The following is a 13,086-nucleotide window of genomic DNA, read 5'->3' as shown; positions in this document are numbered from 1 at the left end:
AACAGACTGTGTGAAGTCCTGAGAATTCCAGTCCTAGGCATTAGGGAAACTTAGGCTGGTGTTTGCAGAACCGGGGTGTGAACTAGGGGCTGGCCCTAACAACCAAGACTAAGAAGCTAGTGTGGCATGGGCTGCAGCCACCAGTGCAGGAAGCAGGTACTGCTCCTCCTACTTGAGCAGGATGAGAGTTGCCATGAAGGCTTAGTGTTGAGCTAAGTGGAGACTCCTATGGGCCATGAGCATGAACTGAGGGGCAACAGTTGGGTTGGCTATGACACCTGTCTGGACTGGGGGCTGTAAGAAGGAAGCAAGTCTCTTACTCACTGGCCAAGGCTAAGGCCACTGGGACTGGTCCCACCCTTCCCATGGAAGGACCTCAGTGCAGTGGTGACTACACTTTACCCAAGAATTCCACCAGAGGCCTGAGGACTGTTTCTCCCCAACCTGTCATGGCCAGTGCATGCACTCGTGACTGGGAGTCCTGAGTGTAAGCTTGCCCAGTCCAGCTCCATCTGGCTTTGGCCCTCAACCAATGATAAGTGACAAAATTGAATCAGCAATAAAGAGTCTGTCAACAAAGAAAAGGCCTGGACCACATGAATTCACAGTCGAATTCTACCAAATGTACAAAAAAGAAATAATACTAATCCTCTTGAAACTGTTCCCAAAAATTCAGATGGAGGGAGTTTTCTCTAAGTCATTCTACAAGGCCAGTAACACCTGATACCAAAACCAGACAAGGACACAACAACAACAAAAACTAGACCAATAGTTCTGATGAACATAGATGCAAATATCCTCAACAAAATACTAGCAAACCAAATGCAACAGCACATCAAAAAATAATATGCCATGATTTAGTAGGTTTTATACAAGGGATGAAAGGATGATTTAATACATGTAAAGCAATAAATGTGATAAATCACATAAACAGAGCCAAGGACAAAAAACATATGATTATCTCAATGGATGCAGAAAAGCATTTGATAAAATTCAACATCCTTTCATAATAAAAACCCTCAACAAACTAGGAATATAAGAAATGTACCTCAAAATAATAAAGTCTATTTAGGACAAATCCACAGATAACATCATGCTGAATGTGAAAAGTTGAAAGCATTTTTTTCTAAGAAAAAATGAAACAAGACAAGAATGCTCACTCTCACCATTCCTGTTCAACATAGTAGTGGAAATCTTATCTAGAGAAATCAGGCAAGAGAGAAAAATAAAAGCCATCCAAATTGGTAATTGGATGATATGATCTTATTTCTAGAAAAACCTAAAGAATTCACCAAAACCTCTTAGAGTTAATAAATGAATTCAACATACATATATAAAATACATATGTATAAAATACATACATATATAAAATCAACATACAAAATCAGTAGCATTTCTATACAGCAATAACTGTCTAGCTGAGAAAGAAATCAAGAGGGCAATCTCATTTACAATAATTACAAGCAAAATTTAGGAATACATTTATTAGCCAAGGAGGTGAAAGATATCTACAAGGAAAATGACAAACAATGATGAAAAAATATTGTGCATGACACAAACAAATGGAAAAACATCTCATGCTCATGGATTGAAAGAATTAATATTGTTTAAATGACCATAAGGCCCAAAGCAATCTATAGATTCAATGCAATCACTATCAAAATACCAGCAGCATTTTTTAACAGAATTAGAAAAAAACTATCCTAAAATTCATACAGAAGGAGAAAAAAGCCTGAATAGCCAAAGCAATTCTGAGAAAAATGAACAAACCTGGAGGCATCTCATTACCTGACCTGAAATTATATTACAAGGCTATAGTAACCAGAACAGCATGGTACTGCTATAAAAATAGACATATAGATCAATGGAACATAATAGAAAACATGTAAATAAGGTCACATATTTATAGCTAACTAGTCATTGACAAAGCTGACAACAACATAAGTTGGAAAAAGGACACTCTTTTCAATAAATGGTGCTGGGACAATTGGATTGCCATTTGCAGAAGAATTAAACTGGACCTCTATCTCCCACCATATACAAAAATAAACTCAAGATGGATTAAAGACTTAAACATAAAACCTTAAACTATAAAAATGCTTGAATAAAACATAGGGAAAACTTTTGGACACTGGTCTAGGCAAAGAATTTATGACTAAGACCTCAAAAGCATAGGAAACAAAAACAAAAATAGACAAATGGGATTTAATTAAAAACTTCTGCACAGCAAAAGAAATAATCAACAGAGTAAAGAGACAGCCAGTAGAATGGGAGAAAATATTTGGAGAATATTCATTTGACAGGGGACTAAAAACCAGATATACAAGGAACTGAATTCAACAGCCAAAAACCCTGAAACAATCCCATTAAAAAGTGGACAAGGAGTAAGGTGGTATTGCATCATGGTTTTGATTTGCATTTCCCTGATCATTAGTGATGCTGAGCATTTTTTCATATGTTTGTTGGTCATTTGTATATCTTCTTTTGAGAATTGTGTTTATGTCCTTAGCCTACTTTTTGATGGACTGTTTTGCCCTCACCTGTCATGGCTGGTACATGCACTCATGACTGGCGGGCCTGAGTGCAAGCTTGCCTAGTCCAGCTCCATCTGGCTTTGGCCCCCAGCCAATAATGATTCAAGATTGAATCGGCAATAAAAACAGCCAACAAACAGCCAAAAAAAAAAAAAAAAAAATCCTGAAACTCAACAGCCAAAAAACCCTGAAACAATCCCATTGAAAAGTGGGCAAGGAGTAAGGTGGTATCGCATCATGGTTTTGATTTGCATTTCCCTGATTATTGGTGACGTTGAGCATTTTTTCACGTTTCTTGGCCATTTATATATCTTCTTTTGAGAATTGTCTGTTTATGTCCTTACCCCACTTTTTGATGGGAATTTTTTTCTTGATAATTTGTTTGAGTTCCTTGTGGATTCTGGATATTAGTCACTTTTGAATACTATTCAGCCATAAAAAGGAACGAGTTAATGGCATTTGCAGCAACCTAGATGGAACTGGAGACTATTATTCTAAGTGAAGTAACTCAAGAATGGAAAACCAAACATTGTATGTTCTCTCTTATAAGTAGGAGCTAAGCTATGAGAATGCAAGGGCATAAGAATAATACAATGGGCTTTGGGGACTCGAGAGAAAGGATGGGAGGGGTGTGAGGAATAGAAGACTACAAATTGGGTTCAGTGTATACTTCTCAGGTGATGGGTACACCAAAATCTCATAAATCACCAGTAAAGAACTTACTCATGTAACCAAATACCACCTGTTCCCCCAAAACCTATGGAAATACAAAATTTTTTTAAAAAAGAAAAAAGTGGGCAAGAATATGAATAGACATTTTTCAAAAGAAGACATACGAATGGCCAACAAGTATATGAAACAATGCTCAACATCACTAATCATCAGAGAAATGAAAATTAAAACAACAGTGAGATATCATCTTCCCCCAGTCAGAATGGCTCTTATTAAAATGACAAAAAGTAACAGATGTTGATGAGGATGTAGAGAAAAGGGAACTCTTACACACTGTTGGTGGGAATGTAAATTATTAGCCTCTATGGAAAACAGTATGAAGATTTCTCAAAGAACTAAAAATAGAATGACTATTTTATCAAGCAATCCCACTACTGGGTATATATCCAAAGGAAAAGAAGTCAATATATCAAAAAGATACCTGCACTCATATGTTTATTGAAGCACTACTCACAATAGCAAAGATATGAAATTAACCTAGTATCCACCAATGGATGAATGAATAAAGAAAATGTGGTATATATACAATGAAATACCATTCAGCCATGAAAAGAATAAAATCATGTTATTTACAACAATATAGATGGAAATGGAAATCACTATCTTAAGTGAAACAAACCAGGCACAGAAAATCAAATATCACATGTTTTTACTCATAAACGTGCTAAAAATACGTACACATGGAAGTAGAGAGTAGAATCATTGGCAATTGATACTTGGAAGGGTGAGGGGGTAGGAGAGGAGTGATGATAAATTAGTTAATGCATATAATGAATGTTATTTGGGTTTTGGATACCCTAAAAGCTCTAATTTGACCACTACACAATCTATGCATGTAACAAAATTTTATACGTACCCCATAAATTTGTACAAATAAAATAAAGAGACACTAAAGCCAACTAGATAATACATTTAGCTAGGAACTCAGAGACAATTCTACTGGCAATGACTGTCTTGGAATGGCTACAACTGAAGTGTATTTCCTTATGCACAGCAATTAGTGTATGTATTTATTTTTCCTATCAGTTGACTATACTATTAAAATTATATTTTTTCCTGGCTGCTTCCACATATTTGGAGGGGCTTCATGGCTGGAGACTGTCCCTGAAGATAAGTTAAAAAGCATCAGTGTGTGGCGAGCAGATCACTGCTCAGAAAGCTTCACACCAGAGTCCAGCACCTGCAATGTTATTTTGTGTTACTGGACAAGTCGTTTAGTCTCTGTGAAATTCTATGTCTTTTTCTGTAAAATGGGATTAGAAATACAGCTTTTACCTTATAGAGTTTTAACTGAGAAAAGATTAGGGGAAGCATTCAGCATGTTGTCCATGCTCAATTAATGTTTATTGGCGTGGATTATTTTTCTAGAAGGCTTTAGATGACCAGTTATTTTACATTTTTGGACTAAAGTTAAATTTTAAGTAAGTTGTTTCTTTCATGAGTAAATACTCATAAAAACTACATGAATTCATGTAAGTAAAATTGTAATTTTCCTCCTTTGTCATGATACCTTTTTCTTAGACATGTAAATGTTTGTATTTTTCTTTTTCTAGACAACAAGCTGGTGAGCAGCCTCAGCCTGCCTCCTTTGTTCCATCAGAGATGCTCATGTCATCGGGTTACGCAGGACAATTTTTTCAGCCAGCATCCAACTCAGATTATTATTCACAATCTCCTTACATTGACAGTTTTGATGAAGAGCCTCCTTTGCTAGAAGATAAGTTAAGGAAGTGTTATTAATGTGTGTACAGCTAGAAGAATAATAGCAATAATTAGCACTTAATGTGTGCTGTCAGCCTGCAGTGTACAGTGTCTTATGTTTGATTGTTTCACATATAACAAGAGTTTGCTGAACCAAAACCCTTAAACCATTGGAAGTTTGTTGCATGTTTGCATAGGGGAAATTGGGTGCAGATATGAGATATTCTGTGATATTGCTGCACCTATTAAATGCTCCTTCACTCTTTCTTAAATTCGAACTCCTTGGCCAAGAATAGAAAAAAATGAAGACATCTTTTGGCAGAGTAGTTACATCAAAGTGACCACCCTTCCCACCCTGTTAATGAAGCACTTCATAACAGCGTATTTTATTTTCTGCTATGTTTTCCTGGGAGCAAAGTGGATATTTTCTCAAATTAATATTTTTTGTTGTCATTGTTGACATGGAGACAAGCCAGTTTTTTTTCTTTCCTGACTCATACAAGCCCTTTCATATCAGCTTGGCATGGGTAGGTGAGGAAGAACATAAATCCAGTAAATAATGCTGCTGGTGGGAAGGAAATCCAGACATTCTTGGAACTGAAGGTACTTAGGGGATTTCGGAGTTGTTCCATCCATTGATTTTTTTTTTTCATATGTAGCCAGTCTGTATGTGCTGTTTTTGCTCTTAAACAATGTTAATACAATGCTGGAAACATAGGCGTTAAGACGCTAAAACCCAAGTGGATTTAAATTGGAGAACCAAGCAGAAATAGTCACTGGTTAACTACTCCAAGTCCTTTGCATGTAGTCAAGTGAAAAGGAATAGATTAAAATTTCCAGTATTTTACATCACAAGATGTAAAGGTGTTTGCCTCACATGAACACAACCAGCCACATTCTTCTTTCTTTTCCTTAAAAATATAAAAACATGAAAGATTTAAACTGTTCAGAACAGAACAGAGATTTATATAATCGATCTATTGGCTCTTTAGAAGCCAGTCAAGTTTCTGGATCAGTTATCTTTAACCAGTTCATTCAGTTTTGCCTCTACAAGTAATAAACACCTAGAAGTTACAAGTTATTCTTGTTAAACATTTTCCTTGACTTTGCCAATATCTCTCCCTAATTGTCTTCAGAATTTGGAAAACATAGAAACATAAGAATAAAAATATAAAAATTACTTCAATTCTTGTCTCAAAGACATGACTATCATTAACAATTTGATGTATTTTCTTCTAGCCTTTATTCTATTTTCCTATAAATGCCTGTGTATATGTATTATGTATGAATATACATGCATACTTTAAAGTAAAATACTATTTTTTCAATGAATATATATGCATCTGAGTACTTAAGTATTATATTCTTTTTATTTACTTTATGTCACGAGTATTTTTTTTCTTTTTGAGATGGAGTCTTACTCTGTTGCCGAGGCTGGAGTGCAGTGGCCCAATCTCAGCTCTCTGCAACCTCTGCCTCCCGGGTTCAAGCGATCCTCCCCCTCAGCCTCCTGAGTAGTTGAGACTACAGGTGCACACCACCGTGCATGGCTAATTTTTGTGTTTTTAGTAGAGACAGGGCTTTGCCATGTTGTCAAGGCTAGTCTCGACCTCCTGACTTTGGGTGATCCACCCGCTTCAGCCTCCCAAAATGCTGGGATTACGGGCATGAGCCACTGTGCCCAGCCTGTCACGAGCACTTCTATGCAAGCATTCTTTAAAGTCATTAAATATTATTTGAAAACAATTTATAATGGTTTCACAGAGTTCTATCATATAACATAACCGTAATTTAAACACGCCTTAAAGGTTATTCCTTATAGCAAGTAATGCTTTGTTGACCATCATAGGAAACCATCTTTGACCTTTATAGAGTCTGTCCTTAGGATGTACCCATAACAGTGGGATTGCTGGGTTAAAGGTACTGACACTGTCAACTGATCTCAAAAATGGTGTTCTACTCCACTTCCAGAGTAGAATATGACATGTCTTTGTCAATTTTGTAGGAAAAAAGGAAAAAGGAATACTTTGTACCTCTGGGTTACTAAAAAAATTTTGACATTTCTCATATATGTATTGACTTTTTATTTTTCATGGGTTTTTTTGTTCAGATTTCTATAGAATCTAAAGAGTTTTCTTTCCTCGTTTATTTTTTAGGGATTTTATATAGTAACCATATTAATTATTGCCTAGAATGTGCATTTTAAACTTTTTTTTTCCTAGCTTGTGTTTGCCACCTAATTTGTTTATGGGTCTTTGGGACATATTAAAAATGTGATATTAATTTTTTAAACCCAGCATATCTTTTCTAGTAACATTTCTTTCCAATTGTTCTTTGTTTAGAGTCTATTTCTCCAGCTCTAAGTACTGCCTCTATCTCCTTATAGATGCTCACATTTTAAAATTATCCTTTTATGTTTTTTGTTTTATATTGAAATTTTTTATTCAATAGTTGTTTAAGCTTAATATGTGAAGTAAGGATTTATTTATTTTTTCTGTGCTGCTTAACTAATTTTTTTCCTGCAGCATTTGTTGAAAGTAATCTTTTCTACTATCTGAAATGTCTCTATTGTTGCATTAATTTACCACTTTCTATACATCCTCCTCTAACATGTCTTTCAATTTGAATAGAAAATATGTAATAGATTTTTATTTCCATTTTATACAGCTCAGAGTTAATTTCCCCAAAATACATAGTGTATTAGAACAGCAGTCCCCAACCTTTTTGGCACCAGGGAACAGTTTTGTGGAAGACAATTTTTCCACAGCCAGGTTGGGGAGATGATTTTGAGATGAAACTCTTCCACTTCAGATCATCAGGCATTAGTTAGATTCTCATAACAAGCGTGCAGCCTAGATCCTTTGCATGCACAGTTCATAATAGGGTTCACGCTCCTATGAGAAACTAATGCAGCTCATCTGGCAGGAGGCGGAGCTAAGGTGATAATACTTGTTCGCCCACTGCCCACTGCTCACCTCCACCTCCTGCTGTGCGGCCCGGTTCCTAACAGGCCATGGGCAGGTAGATATGGGTCCACGGCCCGGGGATTGGGGACACCTGTATTAGAAGATAGAGTACCTAATATAATTTTGTGCTTTGAATCTATGAAATATCTGGATTTTGGATCCAATGTGTTCTTCAAGCTGAGTGACTTGTGAAAGCCTCAAGCCTCTTTTGTCTAAAGATATGAAAAAGGCCAGGGTATGTCTTTTTCAGATATAAAAAAAATACAATTTCTAGGATAACGCATTAAATAACATTTACTAGTTTTTATTGACAATCCAACAGAATGGCCTATAAAATTATGAAGCTATAATACTATGCACAAAAATGTGTTGTTTCAAAAGTGTCCTACTTTATTTCTTAAATATTTTGTTGTCTAAAATATTTGTTTGGTTTTATGTAAGAATGATAAATTTTGCTCTTTGTTAATGTAAAATCAATATGTTAACAAATGCATTTTCAAGAATAATAATAAATTCAAGTCTGTCAGATACGAAAAATTACTGATATTTGGTATTTTGTATTTATAGCGTAGCTCGAGACTTCCATATGAAAGGCCAATGCCACAATTTGCGTAGAAAGTAGGGATCTTAATTCACTTTTATAGCATATGTATCATATACTTTACTACCACTAGATGACAGCAAAACAATAAATTTTGCATTAAAATTTCACAGCAGTTTTATCTTCTTTTATTTTGTACAATAAGATGTTATATTAGAGTATCTACAATTAATAGTTATAATCACTCACATACCTTATAATAAATAAAAACCACAATATTATAGAGATCTATTTCAGTAGAAAGCACATACAATCTTTATTATTATGAAAATATTTGTATGGGCTTATGTTCATTTACTGCCTCATGGTTTGACGTTAAAATATGAGCAGGAGTTAGTTATGCCATTAAATACATGGTTGACATCAGTGTGATGTCGTGTGAAGCATTTTCATCTGAATTTCTTCCAAACTAATTATATTTTCTGAGGAAAAGGTATTTGGAATTAAATACCATTTTATTGTGGTAAATACTGAAAACATATTTTTAGCATACATGCCAAAATTAAAAAATAAAGTTTGAGCGCATAAATTTCTGGTGAAATTAATTTAAAATTAATTAATTTAAAATATGTAGTATGTCTCAATTTTTAAAGTCTTCTTCTCTTTCAAAAATTACGTTAGACATTCTAACCTCCTTTTAAGCTTGGTGAACTGCTCATATTCTTCAAAGCATACGTTCATTAATAAATATATAATTGCACTGTGCAAATCAAGGATGAAACAAGGAAGCAGAAATGTAAATTATTTGCTATTAATTTACATTCAATTTTTTTTCAAGCTTAAAATAACAGATGTCATTCTGGGCATGAAATGAGTAGAACTTTATTTTTTGGTTTAGACCAGTGTCTAGCTGACCCTCTGAAAGTTTCTGAGTTGTTAGAATAAGGGTCCTCTGTGTCATAGGGATTATTAGAAGTCCATGTTGTAGTCTGTGTACAGAAAAGTCAACTTTTCAAGGTATTTAGATGATACGTGCCTCTGTAAAATAAGTTGAGCTATACCCCTGTATCTGACCAAACAGGGTTACTAAAGCTTGGAAGGGTGGTTGAGTGCCACATATAAATACATTTAGGAAGACAGTCCTTCACATGGAAGAATTGGGCTCATTTAAAAACAAAATACAACCATTATGAGAGTAGATGAACATTGACCTGACCACAAATCTATGGTTAAACATGTGCTTTCTTGAGTCAGATTGTGCAGCATTGAAACCCAAGTTTTCTACTACTGCTTTGTGTCTTCAGACAAATTAATCTGTCAAAGCCTTATATATCTGATGCATAAAGTAGGGATAAAATAATAGTAACTGATTGATTGTGTATTTATAAGACCGATGTATGTAAATCTTGTGGAGTCCATAGCAAACACTCAGTAAATTTTAGCTTTCATTCTTCCTAGCCTCCACCTCACCCTTACTGATATTCTGAAATTATAGAAGGAGGATAACCAATTTGATTGCTGGTCCCTAAATAGTCAAGTCATACTCTTCTCTTTGAATATTCGCTTTCTCTACCCTAGATACATCTTAGTTCATCTCTACAGAAGCGGTGAGAAAAGAAACTGATCTGGTATCGATATTTATTTCTATGTTCAGGGGATGTCAAATGGCTAAGTATTTGCTTTATAGTAATAAGAGAAGCAGATTCTAGCAGAAGGACCTATGAGGCAGCAGTCAGAAGTATTTTAAAAATGGGAATTGGAGAAAAAAAATCAGAAGTTTCTAAATGGATTTGGACTCATGAACACTGAACCTCATTGATTTTGGATATTTTATTTGAATACTACCATGTATAAAAGAGAAAGGTTAACTCGTCTCAAGAATTTAATCTTTGAATGCATAGACTCAACTTCACAGTACATTGACCTTACAAAAATATGCATGCACATCATGATCACTTTTACTTACAGAAAGAGCCCTTTTCCCCTCTGTGTAGTTTCAAGCATTTAGCATAAAATTGCTCTTCTCATTAGGCATAGTGGAAGTAAAAACCCAGACTTGGACTAAGTCTCATTAGTTCATTATAGTACTGCTAATTGAAAAATTATGCCATGGCCAATATGACAGGATTTCAGAAGTGTCAGCAATTGAAAATACAGGAAAAGGGCCAGGTGTGGTGGCTAAGGTCTGTAATCCCAGCACTTTGGGAGGCCGAGGCAGGAGGCTCCCTGGAGCCCAGGAGCTCTAGACCAGCCTGGGCAACATAGTGAGACCTCGCCACTATGGAAGAAAAAAGATTAACCAGGTGTGGTGGTGCATGCCTATAGTCTCAGCTACTCAAGAGGCTGAGCCAGGAGGATTGCTTGAACCCAGGAGGCGGAGGAGCTGAGATCGTGCCACTGCACTCCAGCATGGGTGACAGAGGGAAACCCTGCCTCGAAAAAGAAATAAAAAAGAAACAGAAAATGCAGGAAAAGGAAATATCTAGATGGACAATAGGATGAAAGTTTTGATCTGTTAGCTACAATTTTATTTTTTACTGTATATTGCCAACTTCCCAATTTTCAATTAGATTTAAAGCTTGTATTTGCTGCATAAATCAGGGAATGTTTTCCTTGATGGAAATGTTTCTCTAATATATTTATTTTAAGTCATTCTTTGGAAGCCAAATTATTTTTTAGTTTGTTTTTTAAGATTATTATATGTTACATAGAACTTGAGTTTCTGTGTAATACAGAACATAGAACTTTAGAAGGTATGATAGAACAATCAGATTAAAATGCTAAGTAAATTAATCAGATATGTTAACCTTTAAAGAGTGTAACTTATTTTTATTTTTCTATATTTATGTTATCATATTATTTATCTTTTTTCCTTTTTACAGAACTTGGAATCCATTTTGATCACATATGGCAAAAAACTTTGACAGTGTTAAACCCAATGAAGCCAGTAGATGGCAGCATTATGAATGAAACGGACCTCACTGGACCCATTCTTTTTTGCGTAGCCCTGGGAGCCACCTTGCTTCTGGTAATGTGTCACAGGAAGCACCAGATTTTAATGCTTGTCCTTTCCAGTGCTGGCTTTGAAGCAATCTGTATAAATATAAGAGAAACTGTGTCACCTTACATAGTGAATTTTTTAAGTGAGAGAGAATAATTTAACCATAGTGACAAAAATATGCTACCATTATGCATTGCAACAGCTAAAAAGTATAAATTTAAATAGAATTTCAAAAATCAAGAAGCAGATCAAAGCAGGAGATCATTTATGTCTTTTTTGTTATTAAGAAAAGACTGTAAATCTGGAATAATGGAAGGAAAACATAGATTTGGGAGATATAAGGCCTACATTTTATTTTTTGTTATTTTGTGAGAGTTCTATTGTGACACTGAAGAAGTCACTTCTCTTTGGTCACCATCTTCTTTGCTGTGATATATCTCCAGACTATTTCTAACATCTTATGAGGTACGAGACAGATCTCCTTGTTTTGGGTTAGGCTACTATGAAAAATTAATTTGCAATGACAACCTATGTTTTGTTTACTCAACCTACATATTTCCTCTAAAATGTTAGTTTTCCACCTTTTATGAAGACATTTGTTCCCTGACTTCACTATATGTCTTATGTATGCTTTCATTCTTTATATCTGGAAGTAATGATATTAAGGGTCACTAGAAAAGTAAAGAAAAATGTACTTCCACCTAAGTAAAGTTTAAAAGACATTCTAGCTCATAGTTTAGGAAAATGTTTCATTAAGAAAAAAAGGCAGAAGAAAAAAATGAGAAAATGTCTCTGACTTTATACCAAGGAGGAGGTGGCAATACATTAAAAACAGAAAATGATAAAGATGGTTAAGTCAGTCTGAAAAGTATAGTTTCATTAAGACACAAAGAGATAAACCAGGCAGAGGAAATAATATGGGAAATTAAACATTATAGGAAAAGCTCTTACAATAACTATTTAGCCCTCTTCCCCATTTTCCTGCTCTTCATGTTCCATAATAATAATTTCTTCCAATGGATATACAATTTTCAAAAGTAGTTGTAAAATGCATTTGCAACTAAATAAAATTCTGCTTTTCAATTATTGTATATAATCAATCAAAATACTGATAGCAATCTAGTTTCTGTAGGCAATATGGCCAATAATGTCATATTCATCCAATACAATAGTATTTAGCGATAACATCTTATTTCTTGGTACTACAGCAAATGCAAATACTCTGTAAATCAAACACTATATCAACTAGAGTTTTAATTTAGTCTCTAACCTCCCTTCTTCTGTCTTTGTCACAGTAATTTGATAATCTTAGATTAACTGCTAAGTAAGGCCATGTCAATTAATCAAATAGTCAGAAACAATCAATTTAATATATTAACTCATCTTTCTTTACAAGTCATTTGTAATAAAGCAGCTGTTGGTTCTGTGGCAGAATATTACTGTTACTATCCCTTAAAGAACAGCATCAATTCCATTATGATCTCTCTTGGATGCATAATGTTAGTTGGAGTTATTTACATAACCCTTCTTATATTTTAAATACAAAGCAATAGAGGCAAAAAATTCTTAACTGGAAGCGAGAAAATTGGATCTACCCTAGCTTTGCCACTT

At 34.8% G+C, this 13,086-nt stretch overlaps 1 protein-coding gene across 4 annotated transcripts in view; it reads left to right on the top strand.

Annotated features, from left to right (window-relative positions):
• Positions 1-13,086, top strand: part of YIPF7 (Yip1 domain family member 7) — a 40,112-nt gene that overhangs the window by 21,295 nt on the left and 5,731 nt on the right. For 3 of the 4 annotated variants that reach the window (XM_047450094.1, NM_182592.3, XM_011513679.3), the window contains 2 exons: positions 4,820-4,983; positions 11,357-11,502. In XM_047450094.1, coding sequence (XP_047306050.1) covers positions 4,820-4,983; positions 11,357-11,502 — 310 coding nt within the window. Of the gene's footprint in view, positions 1-4,819; positions 8,471-11,356; positions 11,503-13,086 lie in introns of those variants that run through there. The other variant, NM_001387382.1, reaches the window with a different exon arrangement.

Source organism: Homo sapiens, chromosome 4 (genome assembly GCF_000001405.40).
Source record: "Homo sapiens chromosome 4, GRCh38.p14 Primary Assembly".
Lineage (NCBI taxonomy): Eukaryota > Metazoa > Chordata > Mammalia > Primates > Hominidae > Homo > Homo sapiens.
This window is presented reverse-complemented; position numbering and strand designations above follow the sequence as displayed.